The sequence below is a fragment of the Homo sapiens genome, chromosome 16, assembly GCF_000001405.40.
Source record: "Homo sapiens chromosome 16, GRCh38.p14 Primary Assembly".
NCBI lineage: Eukaryota > Metazoa > Chordata > Mammalia > Primates > Hominidae > Homo > Homo sapiens.
Genome location: NC_000016.10, coordinates 66,597,628 through 66,622,983, shown reverse-complemented (window position 1 = coordinate 66,622,983; position 25,356 = coordinate 66,597,628). Strand labels below are relative to the sequence as shown.

The 25,356-nt window shown below is 51.9% G+C and overlaps 2 protein-coding genes across 15 annotated transcripts in view, besides 4 other annotated features; one reads left to right on the top strand and one right to left on the bottom strand.

The window, feature by feature from the left end:
• The window catches only part of CMTM4 (CKLF like MARVEL transmembrane domain containing 4), a 98,566-nt gene extending 73,760 nt beyond the window's left edge, over positions 1-24,806 (top strand). For 2 of the 6 annotated variants that reach the window (XM_011522882.2, NM_181521.3), the window contains exon 4: positions 762-8,234. In XM_011522882.2, the coding sequence (XP_011521184.1) occupies positions 762-926 (165 nt within the window). In that variant the 3' untranslated portion in view covers positions 927-8,234. Of the gene's footprint in view, positions 1-761; positions 8,235-24,143 lie in introns of those variants that run through there. The other 4 variants (XR_933209.3, XR_933210.3, XM_017022954.2 and 1 more) reach the window with 4 other exon arrangements.
• Positions 2,601-3,102: an enhancer, noted in NCBI's record as "H3K4me1 hESC enhancer chr16:66653785-66654286 (GRCh37/hg19 assembly coordinates)". NCBI's record gives its function as "activates a minimal SCP1, AML or CMV promoter by ChIP-STARR-seq in naive H9 embryonic stem cells {active_cell/tissue: H9 hESC(naive)}" and the evidence as "EXISTENCE:reporter gene assay evidence [ECO:0000049][PMID:30033119]".
• On the bottom strand, positions 9,092-18,988 carry CMTM3 (CKLF like MARVEL transmembrane domain containing 3). 9 transcript variants are annotated; one of them, XM_047433594.1, is made up of 6 exons: positions 18,802-18,833; positions 18,032-18,253; positions 14,520-14,675; positions 13,454-13,549; positions 12,981-13,101; positions 9,092-10,375 (listed from the first exon to the last, which is right to left on the bottom strand). In XM_047433594.1, exons 2-6 carry the CDS (start codon positions 18,176-18,178, stop codon positions 10,347-10,349), a joined length of 549 nt encoding a protein of 182 aa, XP_047289550.1. In that variant the 5' UTR covers positions 18,179-18,253; positions 18,802-18,833; the 3' UTR covers positions 9,092-10,346. The 9 variants fall into 9 exon arrangements, 8 of the variants coding, with proteins under 8 accessions (XP_047289550.1, XP_047289553.1, XP_047289554.1 ...); NM_144601.5 differs by having other exon boundaries at positions 9,097-10,375; positions 18,429-18,988; NM_001363923.2 differs by having other exon boundaries at positions 9,097-10,375; positions 18,502-18,988.
• Positions 13,173-13,984: an enhancer, noted in NCBI's record as "H3K27ac-H3K4me1 hESC enhancer chr16:66642903-66643714 (GRCh37/hg19 assembly coordinates)". NCBI's record gives its function as "activates a minimal SCP1, AML or CMV promoter by ChIP-STARR-seq in naive H9 embryonic stem cells {active_cell/tissue: H9 hESC(naive)}" and the evidence as "EXISTENCE:reporter gene assay evidence [ECO:0000049][PMID:30033119]".
• Positions 17,276-17,495: a silencer, noted in NCBI's record as "silent region_7562". NCBI's record gives its function as "represses an Ori minimal core promoter by ATAC-STARR-seq in GM12878 lymphoblastoid cells {active_cell/tissue: GM12878}" and the evidence as "EXISTENCE:reporter gene assay evidence [ECO:0000049][PMID:35858748]".
• Positions 17,556-18,395: a silencer, noted in NCBI's record as "silent region_7561". NCBI's record gives its function as "represses an Ori minimal core promoter by ATAC-STARR-seq in GM12878 lymphoblastoid cells {active_cell/tissue: GM12878}" and the evidence as "EXISTENCE:reporter gene assay evidence [ECO:0000049][PMID:35858748]".
• Positions 24,807-25,356: the final 550 nt, after the last annotated feature.

Here is a 25,356-nt window from a genome sequence, read left to right as displayed (position 1 = left end):
TGCCACGGCAGGTGGGGACCAGATAATGTAGGACTTCCCCTCTCCATGCCCTGCATTTCTGTATTGTTCTCAGTTTATGAGGAACAGTTATCCTTTTTGTAATGGGGGGATTAAAAGGTTTATAAATGATTAAACGAACTGCTCTCCCAGGTGCCACTCAGGCGATTTGTAAGTCTTAATAATTAAAACTCTGTGCTTCTTACTCTGGAGCTGCTTACTTGGAGCTGCCCCATGAGAGGCAGGTGTGGGATGGGGGCTGTGATGTGGAACATTGGCCCTGTGGCTTGATTTGGGACCCACATGCGAAACCCTGATTTTCTGTCTATGTTACATTTTGTCTGCACTGTATTTTCTCATCTGGGACCAGAGGCCCTGAAGTTGCAGTAAAAGAGGTACTTTTGTGATTTATTTTTTTATACGTCCAAAATACTTCAAAAGAAACCTTAGGCTGTCTTTAGGTCAGGCAAGATTTTCTGTGTGTCACATGACTAGAGACTCAGCTGTGGTGTGACAGCCACACATCCAGCAGGGCTGGGCACAGGCTTCCCTTTGACTCTGAGCCACCCCGTCATATGTATTTGAAACAAGACTTTAGATCAAATGGGGCTGCTGAGAGGGGGAAGAGATCAAGGAATGAAGGCACAGGGTTGTAATGATCAGCTGGCAGAGCAGGAAGGGGCTGCATGTGGCTTGGGTCACCACAGAAGCCTTGAGGGGCCAGGCCACGTGCCCGAGGACTAACTGTGCTGGTGTGTTTTTAGATATTTGGCTTCTTGGCGACTGCGGCATATGCAGTGAACACATTCCTGGCAGTGCAGAAATGGAGAGTCAGCGTCCGCCAGCAGAGCACCAATGACTACATCCGAGCCCGCACGGAGTCCAGGGATGTGGACAGTCGCCCTGAGATCCAGCGCCTGGACACGTGAGGACCTGCCTGGATCCTCCTCCCTCCCGTCCTCGTGCCTGTCTCTCAGTCAAGTTTTCTTTCCCTTGTCCTGTCAGATTTCCATGTGATTCAGTTGAATTTTGTCCTCTTTGGTAAAAGTTCATTTTGGGAAAGGGTTTCCCGAGTGGCCCAGTGGGCGGGTCCGCGGTGGAGTTGGGAGGCCCACGTTCCTCAGCGTTTGGGGCTGTGGAGCAGCCGGCGTCACTGCCCAGGTCCACTTGAGGTCTTACCTGCCCTGAAGCACAGGCTTCCTTTGACTCTGAGCCACCTTGTCGTGTGTATTTGTAACAAGACTTTGGATTAAATGGGGCTGCTAAGAGGGGGGAAATATGAAGGAATGAAGGGACAGCATTGGAACGGTCAGTCGGCAGTGGTTCTCAGGCAGCCTTAGGCACCACCTGCTCCAAGTCAGTGTTGAGTCTGCGTGCTGGGATCCAGCCCACTCCTCATCTTCCATGCCAGGGCCCCCAGGCAGCCAGCACCAGCCCAAAGGCCACAGGGCTGGGGAAAGCTGATGTCCTGTTAGGATGGCTCCCAGGGACCTCTGACTCAAGGAAGGGTGACCTTTTGTTTCCTACTCTGCTGAGAAATCACTTGATTCTTCCTCAAATGAATCACCTTCCTGAACCCCAGATTCTTCTCCAGGAATATGGGGGCCATCTTGTTATGGGGACTATCTTGTTTTCCAGTTTCCTGCCTACCCTAAATACTTTGAGGCTGAATTGCAGATTTTCAGTCATTTTACCTTCTCAGGTAAAAGCCATGAAAGAAACAAGCCTACTCCACCAGCCAAAGCACTTGCCCATTTGCTGGCTTCATGAACCGCAGGTGGGAGGTGTTTGTGTTAAAAAACAGCATGCACACGCGTGCGCGCACACATGCACACACACACCCCTCTATTTTAGGGATGTGTGCTAATTTTCTAAATGCCTGCAAAGAGTTCTAAAATGATTCTGAGCAGATTCGTCTAGGATTTGAAAATACTTGAATTTGCACCAGAACACACCCTTCCACCCATGTTTCAGAAGGCACTAATTGTCGCTTTGGGCGCCTCAGTGTCATAACTGTAGACATCATTCTTGGGAGTTGTTGGGGGGAAAAATCCTAGCTACTTAAGGTTTCTGATTGATTCTTGATAAAGTGAAGATTATTGTGTGTGGTGAATGAGTTCAGTGAGTCCCCATGATGCAGTAGTTTTTTTAAAAAATTAGAGAGTAATTATATCTTTTATGGAAAAAAGTTGTTTTAGTTTGTCAGGTTTTCCCTCTTTGAACTGTTTTTAATGTTTACAAACCTCACTTTAGCTCTAACATTTTGTGTTTAGCCCTCACCAAAAAGCACTTACTGTGGCAGGAAGATTTTGCAGTAACATGGAGAAATCCCCAAGATCAAGTGCTGACAAATGTTGACAGCTTTAGCAGCGTACTGTGTAATAAATAACTCCGAGGGGGCGGCGGGGGGTCTGTGCAAGAAAGCGTCACCTTATGGACATGTGGCGTCTCATTCCCCAGAAAAGGACAGCATCTGAGCTCACAGTGTTGATCAGGCAACACTGCTGGGCTGGGGGTCGGAGTTGGGGTTAGCTTCCTGCACCAACACCTTCAGTACGATCTGAGTTGGGAGCAGTGTCCCAGGCTATGTGGCTGAGCACCACGTCTGCCTCAGGGGCTGACCCTGCTAGCCTGTTAACAACTCGTCTCCCCTCTGCTCCCACAGAGAGGGCAGCCAGGCCAGCTCACAGCTGGGTGTGCTGCCTGTCAGGTCTGTTGAGTGTGTTTGCAAAGTCAAAATTGGGCTTATCTCTCTTTGAGAGTTCCTTTTAAAATAGGGCCACAAAGGCTCAGCCTTGCATTAAATGGGGCCCACTTGGAAGGACCATCCTGAGCTTTATCAGAAATCTCCTGCTGGGAATCATGTTACTTGGCCCCCAAAAAAGGCCATCTTTGAAGTGAGATTGAAAACAAGAACACCATTCAGGTGGGCTTGTTGCCCAAGTTTTCCCAGCTCACTTCAGTAAAACCACTTGATCATCTGGTGAAAGAGGGGGGCAGGTGGTTGGCCTCCTGAGGATATGTTGTCAGCTGCAAGAAATAGTTCTGAAGTCACTGAAACTAAATGCAGATGAATGACCAAAAAGGATGACACGCCAGAGAGTGACTTAGGAGTTAATTTGCATCTTCGTGATAGACTCTTCAGAATTATTTATGTCCCTGTAACTATTTAATATCCTTTGTGCCGTGAGGCTCCTCGGTGGTTTTGTAAATGTTCTCCTTGTATTTAATTAACTCCCACTAGAACCGGAAGTGGTGCTATGGACGCTTTCTAGTTGATGTAATGTGTGGTTGCACATGTCATCATGTATAGACCACGTGGTGACGAAAGTTCTGGAGGGAATAGGGTTATCCAAGGTGAATATGAAGACGCCTATATTTTTCTTATATTGCCTCTATATGCAAACAGAAGACAATCGATATCTGGGGGCCTTAAAATGACCTCTTGGCAAATTGAAGGAAGCGTTTTTGCGTTTAATAGTTTCAATAGGGACCAATATCAGTTTGGTTTGGGGCATTTGAAGGCTGAGCGACCTTAGTTTTTCTCAGTGTTCTGGTGGGACGATATTGGTTTTCACATTTAAAGCAAAACTTGAAGAAACTGCAGTTGCTGTGTGCATTTGGGTTTTTTCCTGGACACTGTACAGCTGAAACCCTCAAGCATTTGGTGGAACCTCTGGTGGTTTTAGATGGATGCAAACACTGATGTCCTCAGAGAAAGTTTATTTTGGCACTGATTGGGTGGATTTGGTATTTTTTCCCTCTGATTCTCTTTGATATCCTTCTTTCACACTGCTGAAGGCATGGGAGGGAAATATGTTTTCCCTGCCTTAAAGAGGGATTACAGTCATGAAAGGCTGGAGATACTTGTTGGCCCCACATAAAGCTGGGAAGAACAGATGCAGTTTCAGATTAAAATCTCGTCAGAGAAGTTTGATTTGAAGTAAACAGCCATCCGAGGGAGGTGACTTTTGTCTACAGAAAAAGCAAGAATGTGGCAGCCTGCACAGCCCCAATACACATCTTCCTTGGCAATGTGAGCTGAAGCCAGCATGGGCAAGTCCGGCCCAGCTCTGAGCGCTTGGCCCTGGGAAGCCAGCGGCACCCCCAGCCCTTCGGGCCCTGTTACTGTCCCCTGGCAGGAAGGCTCACGCCTGTGGGCAGCCAGGGAATGTGTCTGACCTCCACCCTATGTCGGGTGCTTCTGGGACAGCTTCGTGACTCAGTTGAAAACATTCTGACTCTCTTCAAGTTTGCAGTTACATCTGTGGTTCTTGGAAGCTGTCCTAGTGAGTCAGCCTTGGGTTAAGCCTGAGGAGACCAAGCTCCAACACCTTTGTGCACTCATGTACGTGAATTCTTGCTTGCAGTGAATGAGACCTGAACAACCCTAGTGGGTGCCATGTCCTGCGTGTGGCCCAGGCGTACCTTTTCTTGTAGATTCACATGAGAAACCCGTCACCTATCCATGTGCTCTGAGAGGTGGACTGAGGTCTAATCCCTTTCTGTGCCAGATTTTCTGTGGGTTGGTCTTAGCACCTAGGAGATGAATAGAGCATGGAGACACCTGAACAATTTAGTGATTCTGCAAGGCAGTGATGATTTAAGGGTTCCTATTGTCTCATCTGTGTTCAAAACAAAACAGTCATGAAGTCTTTGTGCCACTGCCTGACTGTCATCTTCTCCAGATCTTGTTTACAGAGTAATAATGACGTTAAACAGGTATCAGAAAGGGGAAAAAGTTTCTAGGCCAAGAGCTGCTGGTGGATTCTCTTGAGCAGAATAACAAGTTGCTTCCTGCTCCAGGGACTGCCATTAGCTTGTGAAGTCTCTAGGTGCCTTGTTATTTCCTAGTGAAGTTGCAGAATCCAGGGTTTTTTCCAGGTTTGTCTTATTTTATCAGCACCCACGTCCAGGCCCAACAGCTTGGTAGGCTGGTGAGGTCCACACACGGCCAGGTCTGGGAGATAAGGGAGGAAGCAGTGGCCTGGAACACCCCACCTGTCTGCTATCAGCACTAGACAGCTCAGGCTGTCTTGGAAACGTGTACTTTGTTAACTGCCTTCCTGTCCTCTTGTCTTTGAAAGCTGTCTCGCGTTCCACAGTCAGCTTGAGGGCAAGAGTGGGATGCTGGGGACAGGTCTTTCCCGTCCTGTGGGTGAGCTCCTGGCATCTGGCTCAGGAACATGTGGGTCCAGCAGGTGACTCTGAAGCTGGCTTGGCTGCCATCTCAGACAGGACGCAGGCCTGACACCCTCAGCTTTTAGCTTTGTAAACTTCCCTGGCGCTTTGTAGAATCTTGTGTTTCTTCTCTTCTCAGCAGATATCATTCAAGTCACAAGAACTGTCTGGTTGAGAAAGTAATTTAAAATATTTGACCTTTTATGTTTCTTTTATTTAGAAACTGTGAGAGAAAATACCGTCAATATCTGTTAGGTCTAGAAAAATTTTCTTCCGAAAGTGAATGTTCTGTTTAATTCTTCTTCATGCAAGTGAGTGGCATTTTGTACACTCTTTAGCTTGAAGCGGAGTGGGTCCTATTGTATTTTCCCTTCTTTTGTCTGGAATATATTCTTTTTCCATTTGGATACAGTTTTTCAACCTTTGGGATTTTTTTTTCCTTTCTAGTTTTTCCTACTCCACAAACGTAACAGTAAGGAAAAAATCACCCACAAACCTGCTGAGTTTGAATCACTGGCAACTTGCCTAGAAAAGTTCAGATGATGGGTCCTTGAACTGTGTATCTATTTCATAGGGTAAGTTTGTTGTCTATGTTTGTTTTTTTATGCTGAGGCTTTAATTCAGGTGACTTGCTATCTAGACACCTGGGGTGGCGTGTTTTCTTTGGGATGCATAATACACAAAGGCCAGGGAGCCTTTGGCTTGGACCCCCAGGGAGCTATTGAAACTTTTAAAGTTTGAGTTTAGGAGTAAGAACATATCTCAGACCACCTTAGTCAGCTTTGCTGATGGGATTTAGGGCCAGGTCAGAGTTTCTTTTCATAACTGCCTGAAAAGAGAGATGGTGTGAAACAAGATTCTGATAATGGTTTGTGTGAGATTTGATCATAGTCTAAAACTATCACGTCTGAGTTGCCTTAGGATGACAGTGCTGACACCCAGTAGGAAGTATCCCATTTTTATCAGGAAAGTCAGTCACGCGTAGGGATGGTGAGGAGACGCGTAGGGATGGTGAGGAGGGGAGAGGAGGGAGACCTGCTGGTGCCCTTGCACCAGGGTGAGGCCTGACTCACGCTGCTTCCCCCCACAGGCCCTGCTTTGCTTGCCTGCTTTTTCCAGAATCGATTTTGCAAGCTTCAAGATTCTGTTCCCCTCTTCGCAGAAGTGAGGAAGGCAAATACTCAGGGTTTGAAGGGAGACCTGGCCGGCCTGAGGGCTGGCAGATGTGAGGGCAGGACACCTGGGATGGACTCGTAGGCTGACCCAGGCCCAAAGGGGGCTGCCTGTTCCCAACTCTTTCACTCTGTAACCCATTTTAAAATGAGTTTTTGAATCTTGCCTCAAATTGACCTACTTGGATAAAATCAGTGCTTTTCCTAACTTGATTTTGTTTGACGTGGTTCCCTCTAAGAGAATGGTAGGAATTGAAACTATTTGTATATGTTGAAATTTGTAGGGGTTCAGGAACCCATGGCAGAAACACTAAACTATTTATTTACAAGTATGACTATTTTTTTTTCAAAGTAGGCAATTCTTTGTATATTTTAAGGCAAATAATCACTTCACCTCTGGTGCCTTCCATGCGTCGCATAAGCACTCTTGTCAATCATGGAATTGGAAAAAAAGATGTACATTTAGTTAAACAAGATAACACTATTTTTGTAGCATGATTTTAGATTGTGTCCTTTTAATATTGTTTTCAACAATGGTAGTTTTGAGGTTTTGGCCATTTTCTCTTTACACTTCGTATGTATTTTAAAGAAGAAAAAAAACAAAAAAAATTCCCTGGCTATTCCTCTTTCCTCTCTGCTGCTGCTTCTCCTGCATCTTGTTCCTGCTTATTTAAATAGTCTGAGAGTAAGAGTATATTTCTGTGAAATAATTATAAGTCAGTATAATTGCATTTGGCATTTTTTAACCACTTGCTCAGTTTGGAGCCACTGCTCACCTCAAACAGTACAAAGAAAGTGGTTCCATATTTTACAAACAGAAGAGTAGCATCAGAGCCCTGACCTCCTGTCTTTGGGTGTAAAATGGTGAGAGGCCGGTGTCCGGCTCCTTCCCCTGTGGTTTGGGCTGGTGAACTGAGCCCAAGTGTATTCTCTGGCCTGGGCCCCTTCCAGAATCAGTGCGAGCGTCCTGCAGAGGCATGGCCTTCCTGCCACTGCAGAGTGGGAAGCTTCCTGGGGGACCTCAGCCAGCTCCGGGGCTCTCATCTTCCACTCGGATCTCAGATTGGTTCGTTGTGGATGCTCTGGCTAGGCTCGGCGGCCTTTTCCAGGCTTCAGGCCTGAACAAAACAGGCTGTTTGCTGTGAGGAGCTAGATGACACCAAGACACAGACACGTACTCTTCACCGGCTCCTTTTGCTTCTCCTTCCTGCAGGACGTGAGTTATGTCTGGTCCCAAAACCCTTGAGTAAACTAGCTGAGCCATTGCAAATGAAGGTACAGATGGATTGAAACATAAAATTGTAGCTTTTGGTGTCCTTCTGAAGGGTCAGAATATGTAATTATTTGATAACCAAGGAAGTCAAGTCAGATGGCTAAGTAGTAACTTTCCAATATGATTTCTCCGTGGTACTTCACCTGGTGGCACTTTTGGGGGGCAATGTTAACAACTATCACATTTTACTCATCAAGTCTCTTTCATTTCGGCAGTTTAAAGACACAACTGTGGGCTTTCTGAGGCGATGCCCGTTGGGCAAACTTAGGTTTATGTGTTTGGTTTTTCAGCTGACGTGGAAGCCCTGGGTGGGCGTCCCCTGGCTGGCCTGGCTTTTGGGTTCAAGTCTGTATGTATGGAGTGGGTTGGGGCCCCAAAGCTTTGCTGCTATTGATTTGTCCCCGACAGCAGGCAAAGCCTCACATTGCCCTCAATTTTCCCCCTTTCATTTGAAGGACCAGTTTTTCATGGTACTTGTCTTGATCTTTTTCATAGTGTTCAAATCTGTATTTTTGTATGTAGAGGGAAATAATTTTCTCAACACTAATCGTTAATAACTATTGTATTAAATTGTCATGAAGGAACTTGTTTAATAAATGGACGTGTAAGGATGTCGTTGTCTCTCCTCACTCTGAGTGGCCTCCTCTGCCCCTTAAACGTTACGGATCCAGTTCCTGAAATAGGGCTGCTGTGTGGAGGTTGAACAGAGCCACGATCCTCAGGGTGGAACAAGGCCTCTGTGACACCAGCTTTGCCGCTTTGCCAGGGCTTACAAGGTGGAATGTAAATTCCACCAGGGGCCTCTCCACTCCTGCACACCCAGCTTTCTTACCCATTTTCAGCACATGTGGTGTGTGACAGTTTGGGTGGAATGTCTTGTCTTTTCCCATCAGCCTGGATAAGAATGCGGACCCGGGTCCTCCAGGGCTGTAGTCCTCTGGGCTGTTATGCAACCAGCTTCCAAACCAGGAGAGCCCCAGGGTTCCGGCTGCCTGAGGCTGCCGTGAGACACTATCCTGATGTGTAAGTGAGAGGGCCCTGGGCCAGTTACCCGACCTCTGTCTCAGTTTCTTTGTTTATAAAACAGGGTAGTGTGAGAACTAGAGCAGGGGTCCCCAACCCCTGGGCAGTGGACTGGTACCATGGGACCTGTTAGGAGCCAGGCTGCACAGCAGGAGGTGGGTGGCAAGCAACGGCATTACCGCCTGAGCTCTGCCTCCTGTCAGATTGGCAGTGGGATTAGGTTCTCATAGGAATGCGAATCCTATTGTAAACTGTGCATGCTACGGATCTAGGTTGTGTGCTCCTTATGAGAATCTAATGCCTGATGATCTGAGATAGAACAGTCTCATCCTGAAACCATCCCCTCCCACCCTCACCCCAACCCACCCGCCAACCCCCAGTCCATGGAAAAACTGTCTTCCACGAAACTGGTCCCTGGTGCCAAAAAGGTTAGGGAAATAAAGGATTAAATGGTAGTCAGATTTCACGTGTATTTTTGCTAAAACTGAAAGCTGTCAGGATCCACATTGGTGTTACCAGTTTGTACTGAAGCCTGATACAATACCCAACAGTATTGCTCTGGTTTTTTCAAGCACACACTCCAAGCAAGTGGTCAGTCTGGCTTAATTCATTATGGCTTTTTTTCAGGGTAAGAGATTCACACGCAAGAGAATAAGGCTACAAATGCTCCAAACATGGGTCCAGAACTCTGGCTCTTTTGTGAGGCCTAGAGTCACAGAAAATGCCATCTGTTAAGAAGCTGCTTTTGCATAAAAAAATATAAAAAGTTACAAAATTCCATCAAAGACAGATACACAGTATAAATCGTTAGGTGAACACAGAAGGCTGGTCTCATCTCCTGCAGTGGCCCATAGACCTGCCCTGAGGTCTGGAAGTTCACTGTCCTGAGGGTCCAGGAACTCCTGCCTGCTGGCTGGGCTCTAGGAAGAAGGAGGGTTTGGCTGGGCCCGCCCAGCTCCCCATGACACTGTCACTGTGATGCCACTGTTGTACCCTCTGTCTTCTGGACCAGTCAGTCTATGAGCTCTTCTTTGAAACAGTCTTAGACCCAGAATGGTCATCTCACCCCCAGAAGACATGGTTTCCAAGGGTGGGAGGTGTTAGTTATGGGTGCCGAGCCCCACTTCCTGGGCGACAAGGCAAAGGTCAATTTCTCCCTGCTTCAAGAATGAAGAGGGAACTGGTGCTCCTTGAACCAAAGATTCTTGGAAGGGTCATTGTCACCAAAGTGGCTGGTGTGGGCAGGAGCACCAAGTGCAGACAAACCCACCGGGGCCTGGCGGGGCAGCCCTGTCATGGTTTCTGTCTTTGTTCCTGTTAGTGAAACAGAAGACCCCCGACCCCCGCCACCTAGCAGCATGGAACACCTGCTGCCCAGATACAGACAAGGCTCTGCTTTGTCTCCTTGTGCTGGTTTTTGGCAGAGACGTTAAAGGGCTGAAGGCCTGTGGGACAGAAATGGGGAGAAGGAGTGGGATACCCAAGATGCCCTCATACGCAGCGTGGTCAACAGTGCTGAGCTGAGGGGCAAGCCTGGTAGGCTGGGCTCAGGCAGAACCTGAGGCTGTAGGGGGCCTGCTGTGTCCGCAGCCCCCTCTGCAACTCAGAAGTCCAGGCCTCCGCTCCAACGCCAGCGACCCCTGTGAGGCGCAGGGGTGGAGGCCTGTGTGGCTCAGGTTGCCAAGGCACCCGCCAGGCCTTCAGTCAGAGTCCGAGTCGGAATTCTCTTCTGAAAGGAAAGCAGAGAGGATGCTTGGCAGGAGGCTCAGGGCAGCGGTGCCTGGGAACGGTCTCTGGGGAAGCACAGCTGGGTTGCTGGCAGGAGCCTGGGTGCAGGCCTCCTGCAGCTGACTCTACCGTTCCCAGTGATCGCTGGCATCAGGGCAGGCCGCGGGCCTGAGGCCCTCCACAGGCAGCAGCCACTTTCTCTCTCTCTTTTTTTTTTGTTGTTGTTTTTTGTCTTTGAGACAGAGTCTTGCTCATCACCCAGGCTGGAGTGCAATGGCGGGATCTCGACTCACTGCAACTTCCTCCCTCCCGAGTAGCTGGGATTATAAGCGTGTGCCACCACACCTGGCTAATTTTTGTACTTTTAGTAGAGATGGGCTTTCACCAGGCTGGTCTTGAACTCCTGACCTCAGGTGATCTACCCACCTCAGCCTCCCAAAGTGCTGGGGTAACAGGCGTGAGCCACCGTGCCCGGCCGCAGAAGCCACTTGCACCTCCAGGGTGTGGGTGCGGGTGCAGGTGGGGGTGTTTCCACCCCAAGACTGAAGCCCAGGTGCCCCTTCCTCAGGCCCAGCCCCTCCGGAGTCTCCCTGGGCTTTTCTCAGCTGGGTGGGTCAGGGCTGTACCTCTGCATTCCAGCTCTACCCCCACCCCCAGGTTCAGCAGGACAAGGTGAGGACAGCTATTTTCTTGTCCCCCAAACTAAAATATACTGGAAAATCAGCAAGCCTCTTTTTAGCCATTTTATATCTTCAATCCCCCTCCCCCAATCCTTGTTTAATATTGTAATCAGAAACAATTTTATAATGGTAAGGGCCTGCCTATGAGGTGTACCTCGAGGGTTCCTGAAATCCCAGTTCTGTCTCGGAGCTCTGTAGAGCCTTCTGGAACCTCCACCCCAGAAGGAAAAGCACCAGAGTCACTAACCCCCAACCCCACCCCAGTGCTGGTTGCTACTTCCTGATGCTCATCCCCTCCCTGGCCAGCCTCTGTCTCTCAGAACCCCAGTCAGTCCCCATGAGCTGTCGCTGGCTCATGGCTGGGCTCAGGGCTGGGGTGTGGGCAGCCTAGTCCCTAAACCCCAGCTCTGTCCCTCACTCCGGTTCCTGGGCTGCACTCGTCAGATTTTGTGGGTTTTGCTATATTCAATTTTTTCCCCCCGAGATGGAGTCTCACTCTGTCGCCCAGGCTGGAGTGCGATGTCTTGATCTCAGGTCACTGCAACCTCTGCCTCCCATAGGTGATTCTCCTGCCTCAGCCTCCCAAGTAGCTGGGATTACAGGCGGGCACCACCATGCCTGGCTGATTTTTGTATTTTTAGTAGAGATGGGGTTTCACCGTGTTGGCCAGGCTGGTCTCAAACTCCTGACCTCAAGTGATCCACCCGTCTCGGCCTCCCAAAGTGTTGAGATTACAGGCGTGAGCCACTGTGCCTGGCTGCTATATTCAATTCTAACATATAAGTCAAGAATAATTTTACAGCAAAATAATTGTTACATATGTGAAACTCTCCAAATAGTAAAACAAAAAAAACAAAATAAAACCACCCAAGTTTCCACTGACGTTTACTAATTGGTCCCTGGGCTGGTTGTCTGGGATCACTTGCTGCGGGCAACTGGGAGCAGGTTGCAGAGCCTGAGGAAACCGCCTGGGAGCTCTAACCTAATATTTGCCAAGGGACGGGATGGGATGAGTGGCATTCATTTTCAGCAGAAGGACGGTTTCTGGGATTCACAAATCCCCATGGCCCCAGCACCTGGCTGTTAGGAAACCAGTGGCTCTTAAGCCTAACCTACTGGTCCTGCCTAGGGAAGATCCCAACCACAGGGTGGGGCCTGCAGGCCCTTCCAGAGCTGCCCTTGTCTACCTGTCCAGCCACAGGCACTGCCAGCACAGGGGCACATCCGCCTGGTCCAGAGAAGCATCTCCCCAGGCAGAAGCGCCTGCTGTCTCTGCTCTCAGCCTTCTTCCCTACACCGGCCTGGTCTCTTCTGCCTGCACACTCCTCTACTGCCATCTGTCAGTACCCAGCTCTAGTGTCCCCTCCAGAGCCTCGGGCCAGCTGACACCCAGCGTGGGCCTGCTTTCAGCTACTGTATCCCTCCCTCTATCGGCTCCTGTTTTACTGTCGTCATTGCTGCCCCATCTGGCCCCTCCCCTGGTACGGGACACATCATCTGTCCCTTGCCACGGTTTCTGGGTCTGACTCCTTTCTGGGCTCTGAGCTTCCCAGGACAGGCCTGGATGGGTAAGACAGCAGAGGGGCTGGGTTTGGGGGATGGCCACTCTGGATCCCAGGTGGACAGGTGCCCGAGAGTGACTGGCTGCCCAGGGGGGTCGTCCAGGGAGACTTGCCGGCCTGGCCTGAGGCTCAGCCATGCCCACTGCTTGCCCCTCCTAGAAAGGCTGGGGTGAGGGTGCACGAGGCGAATGGGACTGGCTTTGGATCAGTGCTGCATGAGGGTAGGTGAGAATGGGCTGTGAAAACACTTCCTGCCATGGGGAGAGAGGAAATGATCCCACCCCAGCCTCAAACTAGCTGGCATCCCCGAGGGAGGGCAGGCCCCTGTTGCAGCACTGCTGGGGTGATCAGGGCAGCCGCTTACCTTCTGTCTTGTGGGCTGTGGTCTCATCTGCAGAGTCCCCTTGTTTGAGGAATTTGGCCACGTCGTTAAAGATCAGGTAGAAATCAGTTGCAAACACGATGGTAGCAAAGAAGCCAAACACCTGTGGACAGGGTGGATGGGATGCATCACAGGGCTGACTCCCTGCTCCGGGAGGCTGCTGCCCCAGCCTCACGGCCCATTTCAGATCTGCTTGGACAAACAGCCCGAGTGTCAGGCACAGACCCCTGTGAGTAACGGAAGTGGGAAAATGAGCTGTGAACTTGGTTTGACAAACAGCCTTTCAAAACCCCGGGTAGAGTCAGTCTTTAATGAGAGGACTTTGGAATCATCATCGGGACCCACATGAGACCCCAGGGGGGCCCCAGCAGGGAAAGGCTCTGCCCCAGGTCCCACCCTAAATGAGGGGCTAGAGGGGCATCTGCAGTTTCCAGAGGGGTGGGGCGGCTGCTCACCCCAGCGGCTTTGGAAGCCCCATCCGAGTACTTGGCGATGGCCGTGATGGAGATAGCAAAGTAGATGAGGGCCGCGGTGACACAGCGCAGGAAGTCCTGGGGAGAGAGGGGCATGCTGCCCTGAGCCCCTGGAGCTGAGCACAGCATGGGGAGGAGGCCTGGCAGCCTGGTCGTGTTCCCAGCCCCAGGCCTAGCACCTGAGGGCTCCTATCCCATCCTGGCCCCACCCACATGCCTAGGCCCTTGTCCCACCCCCGAGGTGCCTCTGCTGCCTTGCCAGCAGCTGACACTGCCCTATCCCGGGTCCAGCGGGGCTGCTGTCCTAAGCTCTGGGCAAAAAACTGTGTGGATCAGGGTGCAGCCTGCCCTGCGATGCGGTGGAAGCAGAAGTTGGAAACACCCCCACCTGCTCCCTTCCCGCTCTCCATTGGGGAGATCTGGCTCTGGGCCTCGGCTTTGTCACACTCTTGTGGCCGATCCATTCATGGACCACAGTTTCTGCTTATCCGTCCCTAAGATGGGGACACAGAGGGTGCAGCCCTCCTGAGGCAGCAGATGCTGGATATGAAGTCAAGAGACAAGGGTTCAAGTTGAGCCTTTGCTGCCCTTTCTCTAGGACACATTTCATTCAGCGAGGTCCACTGGGGTCTGGGCCCTCACAGGTGATAAAACGAGGTCAGGGTTGCCGATGGCTGAAGTCTGGGTAAGCCCTGCAAGTCCTCAGTTAACCTGTCCTGCCCACGTGGAAATGGCTTGAATTCCTGTGGCGGCAGCTCATTCCTGTAGGCCCGGTGGGGAGCACCGGCGCCACCTGGTGGCCAGAGACCCCTCTCCGGGTTCCCTGCCTCACAGACCTGCTCTAGAGGCACCACAGCCCACTTGAGGTCACAGGGCTGCTGAGTAGTGGAGCTGGGATGATCTGAAGCTGGGTCTCTCCATCCAGTTCTAACCAACTGCAAACTCCAGCACACTAGAGAAAGGATAAGGGCCCAAGTGCACGACTCTGGACTCCTCATCTGGCCACTTTGTGCAGGGCACCCCTCCCTCCTGGGGCCCCTGTCCTCACCATCATGGGCCAGCACAAGCCCTGCCACTTGTCATTCAGCTGCATGGCATCAGCAAAGAGGAAGTACAAGGCCAGCAGGAACTCCAGCAGAGGCGCTGTGAGGAAGGCAGATGCTGAGGACGCCACATAGCAGATAAAAGTGATGAATGAGAGACCCTGCGGGGAAGGAGTTTGAGGTGAAGTCAGAGCCTTTTCATGTTCCTTGTCCAGTGCTCCTCTGAGCCAGGCCCTGTGGTCAGGATAGAGGAGGTTCCAGCAGGGGAAGCCAACTGCTCACAGTCCCGCAGCTGGGAAGTGGCAGAGCCAGATTAGAATCCCAGGCCAAGCACAGTGGCTCACACCTGTAATCCTAGCACTTTGAGAGGCCCAGGCAGGTGGATTGCTTGAGCCCAGAAATTTGACCCCAGCTTGGGCAACATGGCAAAACCTCATCTCGGCAAAATATACAAAAATTAGCCGGGCATGGTGGTGTGTGCCTGAAATCCCAGCTACTTGGGAGGCTGAGGTGGGAGGATCACCTGAGCCCGGGGAGGTCGAGGCTGCAGTGAGCTGTGATCAGGCCACTGCACTCCATCCTGGGTGAGAGAGAGAGAGACCCTGTCCGCACCCGCCCCTACAAAAAAAAAAAACCCAGCATGGCCCAGGCTCACACCTATGCTGCCTCCCAGTCCTGGGCATGGCCCTGAGTCCTCACCTTACCCCACCCCAGCTCCCTGACAGGACCTAGTCAGAAAGCCCCAGCCTTCCAAGCACATGCACTCCACTCAGTGCCCTGCGGAGGGAAATCAAAGCGAGGCAGGAACCAGTTTCCAAAAAGTAACACCCAACACCAAAGACGTGTGCTCGTCACTGAATGTAGATTTCACCTTGAAAAGAAAAAACCTTGAACCTTAATGATATGCGTCCTGAAGTGTTCAGAGTTGAAATGTCCTGATGTCTGCAATTTATTTTGTGTTAAAAGATAAAATGCCTTGATGGACAGATAGATAAAGCAAAAAAATCTTTTGGAGTTTTAATGTATTTGCAAATTTTCATAATGATAAGAAAGGAACATCTAACAGAGGGTGCGTTGGCACTGACACCTCAGGCCCTGCTGCCTTATTCATACAGGGCCAGCTGTGAAAGGTGGGGCCAGCTGTACTTGAACTACAAGAATCAAAATGTTCACTGTGGTCTTGCCCACAACTCTGTAGGTGGGAAGAGCTGATGCAGGAGGATGTTGAGCCCTGGGCAGTCCTGCAGCCCAGGTACGCTGCAGAGCAGGCCAAGGTGACCTGTTGGCCAGCCTGGGGCTCCACAGTGCCTGGTACCCTGAGGCTCACGGGCATCTCCTCTGACCCTCACATCCACCCATGAGCACAGCCCCACTTGACAGATGAGAAGACTCTGTCACATGGCTAATCAGAGGCTACTAGAATTTGAACCCAGGGCTGGCTGACCCCCCAGATAGAGTTATCTTACCTCCGCCCCAGAGATGGAGTCTTGCTCCGTCTCCCAGGCTGGAGTGCAGTGGCACGATCTCAGTTCACTGCAACCTCCACCTCCGGGGTTCAAGTGATTCTCCTGCCTCAGCCTTCCCGAGTAGCTGGGATTACAGGCGCCCGCCACCAAACCCAGCTAATTTTTTTATTTTTAGTAGAGACAGGGTTTCACCATGCTGGCCAGGCTGGTCTCGAATTCCTGACCTCAGGTGATCCACCCACCTCGGCCTCCTAAAGTGTTGGGATTACAGGCATGAGCCACCACGCCCGGCCCAGGTAGAGTTCTTAAGCAACTTGGCCCTGTGGGTGTTGGGGAGGCCATCTGTCCCTGGTTTCTGTCACTGTGGCTGCGTTTGAACATGTCTATGGCTGAGTAGTTTCTAGTGGGTGCAGGAGTCCCCATGGGGACACCCAGATGCCCCACAGGAAGCACTGTGGCTGCTTCAGACAAATGAACTGCAGGGATCCCAGGGGGTCCCCAGAGCACCCCCATTTGCTCTGCACATGGCCTTGGGTGCAGCTGAGCCCCCTTTGGAAAGATAGACTAAGGCATAGAGACGGGCTGGGAGGCTGCTGGGGCCTCCCAGGAAGGCCTTCCATGGGACTGACCCAGCTCTGGCCCTCCCCTTCCTGTCTCCTATGCCTGCACCCCAAAGCCTAATTCTGGGGATTCCCCTCTCAATTCCTGTTTTTTCATCCCGCGATTTCTGGGGCCACTTCCTCTCTCTGTTTCTGTCCATCTCAGCCTCTGCACTTGCTTGGCCTGGGGGTGGGAGTGAGGGGACTAGGGAGGCAGGAGTGCCCTCAGCGGCTCCTGTGAACCCTGAGTGCTGACCGTTCACCCTTCCTTATCCTCCCTGACCTGGATTCCTGACATCTGCTGGGCCCAGGGTGGCCTCTATGCTCCTGCTGGACATATGCCTCCCTCTTATGAGGTGGTCTTGGGTGGGGATGGGGGGGTTCAAGCCACTCTGGGGACGGTGGATTCGAGGCTTCTCCCCTCAAGTGGCTCCCAGTGGTCTCCAGGGTGGGGCTGGGAGTGTGGGCTCGGAGTGTGGCATTGGTGTCTCACTTGGGCGTTGGGCAGGTGGCCTCTGGGCTGACCGTGGGAGAGGCTGCAGGACCACCTTCTGCCCTCTGCCCTGAGTGACCAGGGAGAGGTCCCGGAGCAGAATCCCCCTTCCTCCTGCCCCCACCCTCCTGGCCGCTCTCACTGGGCCCCTCAGTTGAGCCACCTGTCAAATCAGGCGCCTGAGCGCTCTCATCTGTAAAGTGGGGACAAGGGCAGGAAGCGCCAAGTTCCTGGGATCTAAGCAACAAGTGGCCGCCGCCGTGCGCCGCTCTCTCCTCCCGCCTCCCCCGGTCTCCGGCCCGGCCTCTCCCTCCCCATCCCCAACGGCCCAGCGCCACCCCTACCCCACAGCGGACAGTGCGGGCGCCTCCGGTGTCCAGAGGACAAAGAAGCCCCACCGGCCGGGGTGGGGGCGAGGGCGGAGTAGGAAGGAGCCCGGCCGCGGAGGGGAGGAGGGCGATGAAGTCACCGCGGGGCCGCCTCACCCAGTCCCGGGGGTGGGGGATCCCTCCCGCTCCGCACGGCCCCCCGCCGGCTCGGCCCCGCAGGTCGAGGCCCCGGCCCGCACTACCCGCTCGCAGGAAAGCGGACCCCGCTGCGGCCCGGGAGTCCCGGAGGTCCGAGTTGCCCGAGTCCCCGGGGCCCAGAGAGGGCGGGGGCGCCTGGCTCACACAGCAGGACCCACATCCCCGGGCCCCACCCACTTCCCACGGCCCCCAGCTCTGGACTCGCGGGGACAGCGCCGCGGATGGCCTGGGCTCGGGCCCCGCCCCGCCGTCCAAAGTTTGGGGACCTCGACCCAACTTCGCCAGGCGCCCGAGAGAAGTCGGCCGAGGCGGCGCGGAGAGGGGGTATCGGAGCACGGCGGCCGCCCCCGGACCCCACCCGCGCCCCGACGTCCTCCTCCGAAAGGAGCCGCGCAGTCCTAGCGGGGCGGCCGAGGGTCCCGCCGCACTCACCGACTCGGCCAGCAGGAGGCGGCCTTTGAGAGAGCAGAGGAAAGCCCGCGCCGGCAGCAGGGCGCGGAGCCCGGGGACCGCGGGGCCGGGACGGGAGCCGCCGGCAGGCTCGGGGTCCGGGTCGGGGTCGGGGTCTGGGGGCCACATGGCGGCGGCGGCGGTAGGGCCGGGGCTCGGCCTGGCTCCCCTCTTCTCGCGCCCGGAGGGAAGCGGAAACCCGGGCTGTGCGGAAGGAGGGCAGGCGACACTGGCTCGCGCAGGGGCGCATCCCCCGCCGCCACGCCCCGCCCCGCCCCCACCCGCTCCTCCAGCCCGCCCCTCCCCCTCGGACCCCGGCTGCGGGGGATGCTGGGCCCGACCCGCCCCCTCCCCGGCCTGGGGCCTCCGCAGACTCCACCTTCTTCTTCACCCTGGTTCGGGCCGCTGGAGACCTCCCGATCACCGCCCCGGCACCCCTTCGGAGCTCCCACCCGTCTGCCCCTATCCAGAAGGGCTGTCTATACTCGCTGTCTCCGGTCTAACTTCCTGCCCGTGCGCGTGTCTGGGATCCGGGAACCCAGGCGTCTAAACAGCAAAGACCCCGGCCGTGATGTCGGCTCCGCAACCCATGCCCTCTCTTTTTCTTGGGGGCCGGAGTTTTCTTGCGACTTTCTTGGCCACCCCTCCTGTCCCCGGCCAGCCCCACCCTCCTCCAGGGCCTCTTTGTTGGCTGTTCCAGGCCTCGGTCCTGCACCCGCCTCCCCCAACCCATTCTCAGAGGACTCTCAGACCTGCAAGCGCAGCTCCAGGCACACACACAGACACACACACACGCGCGCGCGCGCGCAAACACACACAGGCACGCACATCTGCAGGACTTCCTGACCTGCAGTCCCCCCACCCCAACACATCTCTCTCTCTCACACACACACACACACACACTCCACACGCACATGCGTGCACATCTAGAGAGCGTCTGGAGTTCAGCGTGATCAAGACCCAGCTTCCTGTGCCTCTGCGAAGGGCACTGCCCCCTCCTTTCCTTCCACCTGACTAGCGGAGACCTGCGGGTTGTCCTTGTCCCTCTTCACCGGCAGTCTGTAACCAAGGTCCTCCCACTTTCACCTCCTATAACTTTCTCTGATCTCTGTCTACTTCTCACCACCACTAGATCCGAAACCATTCCTGCCTGCTCCCCGCTGAACTGCTGTGATGGTGTCTTTAAGAGGCCCTTAGGTTTTCTCTCTGGGCAGCCGGGGGAGAGCTTATGGCACAGTACTGCGCACCCTTGACATAACTAACTCCATCTTAGAAAAAGACTTCATTTTATATTTCATAGGGTGCTTTGCCAACAAGGGCAAGATGTTTTGTTTAATAAAAAATAGAAGGTCAGGCGCTGTGGCTCATGCCTGTAATCCCAGCACGTTGGGAGGCTGAGGTGGGTGGATCACGAGGTCAGGAGTTCGAGACCAGCCTGGCCAATATAGTGAAACCCCGTGTCTACTAAAAATACAAAAATTAGCTGGGCGTGGTGGCACCGTGCCTATAATCTCAGCTACTCAGGAGGCTGAGGCACAAGAATCGCTTGAACCCGGGAGGCATAGGTTGCAGTGAGCCAAAATCACACCACTGCACCCCAGCCTGGGCGACAGAGCAAGACTCTGTCTCAAAAAATAAAAAAAAAAATAAATAAAGACTGCGTCCAACCACATAAGGACACAAAGAAGCACACTGTTCCTCTACCATTTCTCACCAGAGCACTCTGTGACTACAAAACAGCAGCCCAGCAGCCTTAACTGACAACCATCCCACTGCCGTTCATAAGAACTCTGCATCTGCCTCCCAAGGCTCTGCCCCTCAAAGACTCTGCAAGACCCTCAAGCCCAGACCAGGATTCCTTTTGTCTTCTTCCTTACCCTGGAACTGGTTCCTTAACCCTTTCTCCTATCTCTTTTTCTCTTGATGTTAAATGCTACTTTGTTTGTTGTGGAATGTTTATAACATTTACATGTGGATTAAGTATACTATTATATATGGTTTGCAATATTGACTGACTTGTGGAGTGGCTTGAGCCCATGTGCTCACTACTGAGTGAACGGGAAGTACTAAGGAAAATTGGCTCCTTGGGTCTGGGTGCAGTGGCCCATGCCTATAATTCCAGCATTTTGGGAGGCTGAGGCAGGCAGATCACCTGAGGTCAGGAGTTCGAGACCAGCTTGGCCAACATGGCGAAAACCCATCTCCACTAAAAATACAAAAATTAGCTGGGCGTGGTGGCACAGGCCTGTAACCCCAGCTACTTGGGAGGGTGAGGCATGAGAATCACTTGAACCCAGAAGGCAGAGGTTGCAGTGAGCTGAGATCGCACCACTGCACTCCAGCTGCACTCCAGCCTGGGCGGCAGAGTGAGACTCTGTATGAAAGAAAAAAGAAGAAGAAGAAGAAGAAGCAAATTGGCTCCTTGGGATAGCTTGTGGCTTTTGTTTTTTTTTACCCTTGGGTATAGGGTGAATAAAAATCTGACACTGTGGAAAGACACAAACACGTGTGGACCTAGTTATCTCTTTTTTCTTTCTTGAGACAGAGGCTTGCTCTGTCACCCAGGCTGGAGTGCAGTGGCATGATCTTGGCTCACTGCAACCTCCACCTCCCAGATTCAAGGGATTCTCATGCCTCAGTCTCCCAAGTAGCTGGGATTACAGGCCTGTGCCACCACACCCAGCTAATTTTTGTATTTTTAGTAGAGACAGGGTTTTGCCATGTTGGCCAGGCTGGTCTTGAACTCCTGGCCTCCAACAATCTTCCCGCCTCGGCCTCCCAAAGGTTTGGGATTACAGGCGTGAGCCACCGCACCTGGCCAGACCTGATTATCTCTTGACCTTGTACCACTCATGACAATCACCAGTCATTGATCACTTTTGATGGCAGCCGTGGCTCCAGACAACCTGCTGCTATCATCACCCAGCTGCAGCAGGGAGGCATGGCCTGGGCTGCACACTCCATGGAGCAGGCAGGAGTCCTGCTCTCCCAGGTGCAGCTGCAGCTACCCAAACTGCAGCTGCAGAATGGGGCCTCCTCCATGGGGCAGACAGGAGCCCTGGGACCCCCTTTCCCACAGCTACAGCTGCCCAAACCACAGCTGCAGGCTCAGGCATCCCTGTACTCTTAGGGGCCCAGGAAGGCCCCCACCTGCCCTCCCAGGCTCGGAAGTGCCTTCTCCTGCTGCCTGGCTTCTTCCTGCTGTGGACACGTGCTCTGATCTGGGAGCAAAGTTGGGGCAAGCCTGGGCTTCATGAATGGCAGCAGGAGGCGGACAGATTCCTGGGTGGAAGGGGGCAAGTCCCATTGAGGCCCCACCTTTGGGCCAGGGAGGGCCTGAAGGCTGGGGGCCAGGCTGCCAGTCCGACCGACCAGAGTGGGAACTTGTACCTCCTTTTCTGACCCACCCATGGCTGCCCATAGATCAACTGGGCTCACACTTCCTCCACTCTGAGGCCCATAAAAGCCCCAGTCTCAGCCAGAGCTGAGCAGAGGTTGGGAGGACCAGGTACAGAGAGGAGCCACACTCTCCAGGGCCTCCTCTCTGCTGAGAGCTGAACACTCAACGGGATGACCTCCCTACAGAGAAGAGCTACCCACTGTCAGTCTCCTCTGAGCTTTCTAACACTCAGTAAACCTCCTTGTTGACTTGTTCTCCCTCCACTTGTCTGTGTACCTCATTCTTCCTGGATGCAAGACAAGAACTCTGGCAAAGGTGCCACTGGCCACAGAGGTTTCCAACCAGAAAATTAACACCCCAAAGATCCTGTAACACTTCCATCTCCTCCCCACAAAGATAAACACACACACACACACACACACACACAGACACACACACACACACACACACAAACCATGGGAGCTTCCCAACCTGCACAGGGTCTTAGTATAGAAGGAAAATATAACTCTTTGCTGTGCTTCCCTCCCCTGCCTCTCCCATGGACCTCTTACAGTTCCTGGAACAAACTATGGTCCCTCCTGCCACAGAGCCATTGTCCATGCTGACCCCTCTACCCAGAATGCTTCTCCACCTTCTTCTCTAATTAACTCCTCCTTATTCTTCAGTGACTATAGTGCAGTATTGCTTCCTCAGAGAAGCCTTTCTTGACATTCATTTATTCATCCAACAGCAGTGCCTAGGGTACAGCAAGGCCCCAGCTTTTTCTGCTGCTGCTGGTGATGGTGGTGGAATAAACACTAAACATATCCAGAGAATCCTGAATAAGGTGTTCCTGGTAATAGATAACAGATGTCTGGCTGGTTGGGAGGACAGCCAGGAAGGGAGTGTCAAAGAAAGGACTGAGCCAAGGTGTTTGGGGGGAAGGGTGGGGGAAGATGGGGGGAGCTGGTCAGAAAAGGGGCAGGGCTAGACTGGGAGGACCAGAACCTGGAGTTTGGATTTTACGGACAATTCCCTAGGAGGAGGCCAGGTGAGGGTTCTAACAGAGAGAAATCTGGTTCCCATTGGTGTTATTAAAAACGTGGCCCTGGGCTGGGCGCAGTGGCTCATGCCTGTAATCCCAGCACTTTGGGAGGCTGAGGTGGGCTAATCACCTGAGGTCAGGAGTTGGAGACCAGCCTGGCCAACATGGTGAAACCCTGTCTCTACTAAAAACACAAAAAATTAGCCGGGTGTGGTGGTGTGCCCCCTGTAGTTCTAGCTACTCAGGAGGCTAAGGCAGGAGAATTGCTTGAACCTGGGAGGCTGAGGTTGCAGTGAGCTGAGATCGTGCCACTGCACTCCAGCCTGGGTGACAGAGGGAGACTCCATCTCAAAAAAAAAAAAAACAAAAAAAAACACACACACACACACACACACACAAAAGGATGGCTGTGAACTGCAACTCATTCATAAGAAGAAAACAACCCAATTTTTTTTAATGGGCCAAAGATTTGAACAGACAATTCACTAAAAGACATATATGAACGTCCAATAAGCGTGTAAAAAGATGCTCAACATCATGAGACATCTAGGAATGCAAATTAAAACCACAATGAGATACTACTGCATGTCTACTGAAATGGCTTCAAAAGGGGGCACTACCAGCTGCTGGTGAGGATGTGGGGAGCTGGGGCACTTGTGCCTGTGGAGTCCTGGTTCGGCTCTTTCTGGCTTCTTTTCGTTTCCTAATCTTAAAAAAATCTGTAAAAGACACTTAGTTTTCTCCAGTTAATACTGGAAAAAAGACCACACTGATAGACATGGTTAAATTCCCTCATTTCTTTAGGGATGAACTAAATGGCTAGTATCCTCATTTTAAAAAGTATCTTGAGGGCCACGTGTGGTGGTTCATGCCTAATAGCACAGCACTTTGGGAGGTAGAAATGGGAGGATCACTTGAGCCCAAGAGTTCCAGGTTACAGTGATCTGTGATCTCCTCACTGCACTCTAGTCTGGGCAATAAAGTGAGCGAGTGAGACCTTGTCTCAACAAACAAACAAACAAACAACAAGCAAACAAAACCACAATGAGATCATGTCTCCATGAAAAAAAAAAGAAGAAAGAAAAAGTGTCTTGACCTTGGTGGAGCTTATGTTGAGAAACAAAATTCATTTTTAAAAATTTTTATATTTTAATTCAATTTCCATGAACTTTTGGAGGTCCCCTTATATTTTTTCTTTCTGTTTTTTGTTTTGTTTTGTTTTTTGGACAGTCTCATTCTGTTGCTGAGGCTGGAGTGCAGTGGCAAGATCTCAGCTCAATGCAACCTCTGCCTCCTGTGTTCAAGTGATTCTCATGCCTCAGCCTCCCAAGTAGTTGAGATTACAGGTGTGCATCACCAGAGCTGGCTAAATTTTTTTTTTTTTGGTAATTTTAGTAGAGGCAGGGTTTCATCATGTTGCCCAGGCTGGTCTTGAACTCCTGGGCTCAAATGATCTACCTGCCTTAGCCTCCCAAAGTGCTGGGATTACAGACGTGAGCCACTGTGTCCAGCCTCTTATTTCTTTTCTTAATTTTTAATTTAGAGATGGGGTCTCAATATGTTGCCCTGGCTGGTCTTGAACTGTTGGGTTTAAAGGATCCTTCAGCCTCCCAAAGTGCTGGGATTATAGGTCTGAATCACCCTGCCTGACCCCCTCGTAATTTTTATAGCCTGAACTGGAAACCAAATGGCCATCAACAGGTGAAGGGATAAAGAAACTTCCATCCATACAATGGAATACTACTCAGCAAGAAAAAGGAACGAACCATTGATAAACAAAGCAATGTGGATGCATTCTGCAGACAGCATGCTGAGGGAAGGAAGCCAGACTCAAAAGGTACATACTCCATGATTTCATTTTTATGAAATTCTAGAACAAGCAAAAGTAAGCTACAGTAACAGAAATCAGATCGGTGGTTGCCTGCGGTGGGGGCAGGAGAAAGCTTCCTGGAGTGCTAAGAAGTGTTCTTTATTTTGATTGGGGTGGTGGTTACACAGGGACCTACATTTGTCAAAACACATCAAACTATATACTTACAATGGGTGCATTTTATTTCATGTAATTTATATCTCAATTTGCAAAAAGGGTACCGAGAAAAAGCAAAATATGGCACTGAACTAGAGAAGCTGAAAGAGGAGAAGTGGGTGGGTGCCTGTATATAAGTTAACTGCACACTCATGATGTCACCATCCATCCTGCCAGCAGACTGTGATCTCCTGAGGGGGACTGTCATAGCCCAGCCCCAGCCCAGAGCCTGTCACATAGGATGACATCAGGAAATGTCTGCTATGGAATGAAGGCAGGGTGGCTCTATTTCCTCTACATGCCTCCGGTAAGGAAGAATTTTTTCTTCCTCATTTATTTATTTAATTCATTTGTTATAATTAAAAACCATCGTACTGGCCGGGCACAGTGGCTCATGCCTGTAATCCTAGTATTTTGAGAGGCCGAGGCAGGTGGATCACAAAGTCAGGAGTTTGAGACCAGCCTGGCCAACATGGTGAAACCCTGTCTCTACTAAAAAATACAAAAAAATTAGCTGGGCGTGGTGGCGTGCACCTATAATCTCAGCTACTCGGGAGGCTGAGGCAGGAGAATCGCTTGAACCCGGGAGGCGGAGGTTGCAGTGAGCCAAGATTGTGCCATTGCACTCCAGCCTGGGTGACAGAGCGAGACTCTGTCTCAAAAACAAACAAACAAACAAACAAACAAACAAACAAAACCCATCATACTTAATTTTGTTAGCTAAGTTGTTTCAATTTGGCCCCTAGGCCCCCTTCGTTAGGGACTTCATTCAGTATGTAAGTGAGCTCCTGTGTACTTAACATGCCTCCCATCTCGCCCCGCCCCACTTCCTTATTTTATGACACTGTAAGATGCTC

Coding starts and splice junctions, on each gene's coding strand:
- CMTM3 (NM_144601.5), bottom strand. CDS start 18,178: ATGTGGCCCCCAGACCCCGACCCCGACCCGGACCCCGAGCCTGCCGGC. Junction 13,550..14,519: donor GCTTGTGCTGGCCCATGATG/GTGAGGACAGGG, acceptor CTCTCTCCCCAG/GACTTCCTGCGCTGTGTCAC. Junction 10,376..12,980: donor CACAGCCCACAAGACAGAAG/GTAAGCGGCTGC, acceptor CTTTCCTTTCAG/AAGAGAATTCCGACTCGGAC.